Genomic DNA, 7,741 nt, shown 5'->3' with positions numbered 1-7,741 from the left:
GCCTGCAAAGACTCGAATCAGTCCCTTTCTGACATGAATGCATGGCCACGTGAATCAAGAACAATCAGGGACACATGACACCACCAAAAGAACAAAATAAAGCACCAGCAACTGACCCTAAAGAAATGAAGACTTACTATTCAGCAACTACACTCTTGGATATTTACTCAAAAGTCAGTTTGTTGAAGAGATGTTTGCAGTTATCTTTATTGTAGCACTGTTTACTATAGTCATCTTAAGAAATCAACCTAAGGGTCCATCGACAAATGAATAAAGAAAATGAGGTATATATACAAATGAAATATTATTCAATCTTTATAAGGAAGGAGATACTATCATTCATGATAACATGGATGGGTTTGGAGAACATTATGCTAAGTGAGATAAGCCAGGGATCTCTGGGCACTGGGGGAAGGAGAACATGGCAATTGTGAGGCAATGAACTCAGGGCTGTCCTGTTAGAGCAGAAAGGAAAACCAGACCAAACTCAGCTGATGCTCACCCATGGAAGGAACATTTAAACCAACCCTACCCAGAGGGGAATCGCTGATCCCAGCAGTCTGAACCTGAGTACCTATAAACCTTGCCACTGAGGGCAACAGTGCTCTGTGTCTCCAGGTAAACTTGAAAGGCAGTCTAGGCCATAAGGACTGCAACTCTTAGGCAAGTCCTAGTGCTGAATTACACCAAGACAGACAGTGGACTTGGAGAGGACACATGAGACATCAGCTGGAGCAGTCAAGTGAGTGCTGGCGTCACCTCTTCCCTAACCCCAAGCTACACAGCTCGTGGTCCCAGGAGAGACCTCTTCCTTCCACTTCGGGAGAGAGGGAAGAGTGGGGAGGACCGTATCTTACTACATCTAAAATACCAGCCCAGCAAGAGCACAATAGGATACCATTCAGAGTCGTGAGGCCCCTATCCCAGGCCCTAGCTCTCAGATGACATTTCTAGACACACACTAGGCCAAAATGGAACCCATTGTCTTGACAGAATACAGTCCTGGCAGGATTCATCAGCTGCTAACTGGAGAGCCCTTGGGCCCTGAATTACTAGGAGTGATACCCAACTATTACATCGAGGGCCTTGGGTAAGCCTCTGAGACCTGCTGGCTTCAGATGAGACTTAGCACATTCCCAGTTGTGGTGGCAACAGGGAAAAACTCCTTCAGCTTCAGAAAAGCAGAGGGAAAAGTGTCTTGCATCTTAGGTACCAACAGTGCCACAGGGGGGTAGAGCACCAAGAGGGCTCTTGGGGTCCCTCAATTCCAAAATATGACTCTTAGATGGCATTTCAGGACCTGCCATGGGCCAGAGGGGAGCCCATTGTCCTGAAGGGCGAGTCTTAGGCCAGACAGCGTTCACAACAAGCTGATTTAAGAAAACCTGTGCTTTAAAGGAACATCAGCAGTAGTCTGGTAGTACTCCTCATGGCTTGGGGTGGCAGTGGCTGTGGGGTGAGGCTCCTCTCCCTTTGGAAAGGGGAGGGAAAAGTGAGAAGGACTGCATCATGTAGTTTGAGTGTCAGCTCAGCTGCAATATAATAGAACACCAAGTAGACTTCTAAGGTTTTTTAACTCTAGTCTCTGACTCCCAGATGGTACTTCTGGACCCACCTAGGGCTTGGGCAGTGTCCCTGCCCAGAAGGGAAGGACGAAGATCTGACTGACTTTGGCACCTGGTGATTATAGAGCCCAAGGGCCTTGAGTGAACATAGGCAGTAGTCAGGGAGTGGTTGCAACCGGCCTTGGAGGATACCCAGTGCTGTGCTGGCTTCAGGTCTGACGCAGTGCAGTCATAGTGGTGGTGGCCACAGAGGTGCTTGTGTCACACCACCCTCGGCTTTAGCTGGCTCAGAACAGAGACGGAGACTCTGTATGTTTGGGAGAAAGTTAAGGGAAGAGAACAAGAGTCTCTGCCCAGAAAACTAGATAATTCTGGATCTTATCCAAGACCATCAAGGCGGTTCCTCTACAAGTCTTCAAGAATGACAGTGTTACTGGGCTTTGGTTACCCCCTAAGGCAGATACAGCTTAGATCACAATACCAAAGTCCTTTCAAGTATCTAGAAAGTCTTCCCAAGAAGGACAGCTACAAATAACCCCAGACAGTGAAGACTACAATAAGTCCCTAACCCTTCAATGCCCAGACACTAAAGAACATTTACTGCATCAGTACTATCCAGGAAAACATGACCTCACCAAATAAACTCAGTAAACCACCAGAGAATAATCCTAAAGATACAGAGATGTGACCTTTCAGACAGAGAATTCAAAATAGCTGTGTTGAGGAAATTCAAAGAAATTCAATATAACACAGAAAGAATTCAGAATTCTATCAGATAAATGTAACTAAGATTGAAATAATTAAAAAGAATTAAGCAGAAATTCTGGAGCTGAAACATATAATTGGCATACTGAGGAATTCCAAGTCCTTTAATAGCAGAATTGATCAAGCAGAAGAAAGAATTAATGAGCTTGAAGACCGGCTATTTGAAAATACACAGTCAGAGGAGACAAAAGGAAAAAGAATAAAAAACAATAAACCACACCTACAGGATCTAGAAAACAGCCTCGAAAGGGCAGATCTAAGACTCATTGGCCTTAAAGAAGAGGTAGAGAAAGAAATAGGGGTAGAAAGTTTATTCAAATGGATAACAGAAAACTTCCCAAACCTAGAGAAATATATCAATATCCAAGTGCAAGAAAGTTATTAAACATGAAACAGATTTAACCCAAAGAAGACTGCATCAAGGCACTTAATAATCAAAGTCCCAAAGGTCAAGGATAAAGATCCTAAAAGCACCAAGAGAAAGTAAATAAATAACATACAATGAAGCTCCAATAACTCTGCCAGCTGACTTTTCAGTGGAAACCTTACAGGCCTTACAGGAGGGAGTGGCATGATATATTTAAAGTGCTGAAAAAAAAAAAACTTTTACCCTAGAGTAGTATATCCAGCAAAAATATCCTCCAAACAAGAAGGAGAAATAAGGACTTTCCCAGATAAACCTGATGGATTTAATCAATGCCAGACCTGTCCTACAAGAAATGCTAAAGGGAGTACTGCAAACCAGAAAGAAAATAAAATATCAATGAACAATAAATAATCACCTGAAGGTATAAAACTCACTGGTAATAATAAGTATACTGAGAAATACAGAATAACACTGTAAGTGTACTGTGTAAACTTCTGTTATCCTAAGTAGAAAGACTAAATGATGAACCAACCAAAAATAATAACTACAACAACTTTTCAAGACAGTTAAGATTTATAAGATATAAATAGAAACAACAAAAATTTAAAAAGCAGGGGGATAAAGTTAAGGCATAGACTTTTATTAGTGTTCTTTTTGCTTGTTTATGCAAATAGTGCTAAGTTGCTATCAGGTTAAAATAATGGGTTATAAGATAGTATTTGAAATCATCATGGTAACCTCAAATCAAAAAACATACAATGGATATACAAAAAGAAAAAGCAAGAAACTAAATTATGTCACCAGAGAAAATCACCTTTACTAGAAGATAGGAAGAAAAAAAATGAAGAGAAGATTACAAAAGAACCAGAAAACAAACAATAAAATGGCAAGAGTACGTTATTACTTATCAATAACAACACTGAATGTAAATGGACTAAACTCTCCAATCAAAAAACACAGACTGGCTGAATGGATGAAAAAACAAGACCCATTGATCTGTTGCCTATAAGAAACACACTTCACCTGTAAAGACACACATAGACTGAAACCAAAGGGATGGAAAAAGATATTCCACGCCAATGGAAACCAAAAGAGAGCAGGAGTAGCTACACTTACATTAGACAAAATAGATTTCAAGAAAAAAAACTATAATAAGAGACAAAGAAGGTCACTATGTAATGATAACGGGGTCAATTTAGCAAGAAGACATAACAATTTTAAATATATATGCACCCAACACTGGAGCACCCAGATATATAAAGGAAATATTCCTAGAGCTAAAGAAAGAGATTGGCTTCAATACAGTAATAGCTGGAGATTTTAACACCCCACTTTCAGTATTGGACAGATCTTCTGGACAGAAAATCAATAAAGAAACACCATACTTAATCTGCACTATAGAACAAATGGATCTAATAGATATTTATAGAATGTTTCATCCAGTGGCTGCAGAGTACACATTCTTTTCCTCAACACATGGATCATTCTGAAGGATAGACCGTATGTTAGGTAACAAAACAAGTCTTAAAACATTAAAAAAAACTGCAATCATATCAAGCATCTTCTCTGACCACAATAGAATATAACTTAACAACAAGAGGAATTTTGGAAACTATGCAAACACATGGAAATTAAACAATATGCTCCTGAATGACCAGTGTGTCAATGAAGAAATTAAGAAGGAGAATGAAAATTTCTTGAAACAAATGACAATCAAAACACAACATACAAAAACCTATGGGATACAGCAACTAAAAAAGGTAAGTTTATAGCTATAAGTGCCTACATCTGAAAAGAGGAAAAACTTCAAATAAACAATCTAATGATACTTTTTTTTTTTTTTTTTTTTGAGAAAGAGTCTCACTTTGTCACCCATGCTGGAGTGCAGTGGTGCCATCTTGGCTCACTGAAATCTCCACCTCCCAGGTTCAAATGATTCTCCTGCCTCAGCCTCCTGAGAAGATGGGATTACAGATGTGTGCCACCATGCCTGGCTAATTTTTGTATTTTTAGTAGAAATGGGGTTTTGCCACATTGGCCAGGCTGGTCTCGAATTCCTGACCTCAAGTGATCCACCCTTCTTGGCCTCCCAAAGTGCTGGGATTACAGGCGTGAGCCACCATGCCTGGCTTACAATACATCTTAAAGAGCTAGAAAAACAAGAGCAAACCAAACCCAAAATTAACAGAAGAAAAGAAATAATAAAGATCAGAGCAGAAATAAATGAAATTGAATACATAAATACATAAAAGATCAATGAAACAAAAAGTTCATTTTTTGAAAAGTTAAACAAAATTAACAAAACTTTAGTCAGACTAAGAAAAAAAGAGAGGGGCTGGGCGCAGTGGCTCACACCTATAATCCCAGCACTTTGGGAGGCCAAGGCAGGCAGATCACGAGGTCAGGAGTTTGAGACCAGCCTGGCCAATATGGTGAAACACTGTCTCTACTAAAAATACAAAAATTAGCTGGGCATGGTGGTGCATGCCTGTAATCCCAGCTACTTGGGAGGCTGAGGCAGGAGAATTACTTGAACTGGGACCCGGGAGGCAGAGGTTGTGGTGAGCCAAGATCACGCCATTGCACTCCAGCCTGGGCAACAAAAGTGAAACTCTGTCTCAGAAAACAAAACAAAACAAAACAAAAAAAGATTCAAATAAAATCAGAAATTAAAAAAAAAAAGGATATCACAACTGCTACTACAGAAAGCCAAAAGATAATTAGTGACTATTATTAACAAGTATATGCCAATCAACTGGAAAATCTAGAAGAAATGGACAAATTCCAGATACATAAAACCTACCAAGATTAAATTAGGAAAATCTAAAACCTGGATGGACTAATAACAAGTAACGAGATCAAAGCCATAATGAAAATTCTCTCAGTAAAGAAAACCTAGGACCCAATGGCTTCACTGTTGAATTCTACCAAAATACCAATCCTCCTCAAACTATTCTGGAAAATAGAGGACGAGACAATACTTTCAAACTCATTCTATGAGGCCAGTATTACCCTGATACTAAAACCAGACAAAGACAAAACACCGCCAAAAAGCAAAACTACAGGTCAAAATCTCTGATAAACTTTGATGCAAAAATCCTCAACAAAGTATTAGCAAACTGAATTCAATGACACATTAAAAAGATCATTCATCATGACCAAGCGAGATTTATCCCAGAAGATGCAAGGATAATTTAACATATGCAAATAAATCAATGTGACACATCACATGAACAGAATGAAGGACAAAATCCATATGATCATTTCAATTGATGCTGAAAAAGCATTTGACAAAATTCAACATCCTTTCATGATGAAAACCCTAAAAAAACTGAGTGCAGAAGAACATACCCCAAACATAATAAAATCCATATACCACAGACACACACACACACACACACAATATCATACTGAATACAGAAAAACTGAAGCTTTTCTTCTAAAATCTGGAGTTTGACAATGATGACCACTGTCACCCCTGTTATTCACCATACTACTGAAAGTCCTAGTTAGAGCAATCAGACAAGAGAAATATATAAAGGGCATCCAAATTGGAAAGAAAGAATTCAAATTATCCCTATTTGCTGATGATATAATCTTGTATTTGAAAAAACATCTCCAAGACTCCACCAAAAAGCTATTAGAACTGATAAATTAAGTTTCAGGATACAAAATCAACATACAAAAATCAGTAGCATTTCCATATGCCAATAGCAAACAATCTGAAAAAGAAATTAAAAAGTAGTCCCATTTACATTGGCCACATATAAAATCAAATACCTAGGAATTAGCCAAAGAAGTGAAAGATCTCTATAATGAAAACTCTAAAACACTGATGAAATTACAGAAGACACCAAAAAATGGAAAAATATTCCATGTTCATGGATTGGGAGAATAAACTTTGCTAAAATGTCCATACAACCCAAAGCAATTTACAGATTCAATACAATGCCTATCAAAATACCAATGACATTCTTTATAGACATAGATAAAACAATCCTAAAATGTATATGGAACCACAAAAAGAATACCACAGCTATCTTAAGCAAAAACTGGAGGACACATTACCTAACTTCAAATTAGACTACAGAGTTATAGTAGTAACCAAAACAGCATGGTACTAGTATAAAAACAGACATGTAGACCAATGGAAGAGAACAGAGAACCCAAAAACAAATACACACACCTATAGTGAACTCATTTTTGACAAAGGTGGCAAGAACATACATTGGAGAAAGATAGTCTATTCAATAAATGGTGCTGGGAAAACTGGAAATCTATATGCAAAGGAATGATACTAGACCCCTATCTCTCGCCATATACAAAACTCAAATTAAAATGGATTAAAGACTTAAATTTAGGGATCTCAAACTATGAAACTATTGCATGAAAACATTGGGGGAAACTCTCCAGGACATTGGTCTGGGCGAATATTTCTTGAGCAATACCCAACAAGCACAGGCAACCAAAACAAACATGGACAAAAGGGATCACATCAAGTTAAAAAGCTTCTGCACAGCAAAGGAAATAATCAACAAAGTGAAGAGATAACCTACAGAATGGTAGAAAATATTTGTAAACTATCCCCTCAACAAGGGATTAATAACCAGAATATATAAGAAGCTCAAACAACTCTACAGGAAAAAAATCCAATAATCCAATCAAAAAATGAGCAAAAGATTTGAATGGACATTTCTCAGAAGAATACCTACAAATGGCAAACAGGCATATGAAAAGATGCTCAACATCATGGATCATCAGAGAAATGCACATGAAAACTACAATGAGATACCATCTCATCCCAGTTAAAATGGCTTATATTCAAAGACAAGCAATAACAAATGCTGTTGAGGATGTGGAAAAAGGAAACCATTGTATGCTGTTGGTGGGAATGTAAATTAGTACAACCAGTATGCAGAACAGTTTGGAGGTTCCTCAAAAAACTAAAAATTGAGCTATCATATGACCCAGCAATCCCACTGCCGGCTATATACCCAAAAGAAATGAAATCAGTATATCAAAGAGATATCTGCACTCCTATATT

Source organism: Homo sapiens, chromosome 15 (assembly GCF_000001405.40).
Source record: "Homo sapiens chromosome 15, GRCh38.p14 Primary Assembly".
NCBI lineage: Eukaryota > Metazoa > Chordata > Mammalia > Primates > Hominidae > Homo > Homo sapiens.
The sequence above is the reverse complement of the archived record's forward strand: the minus strand, read 5'-3'. Positions refer to the sequence as shown.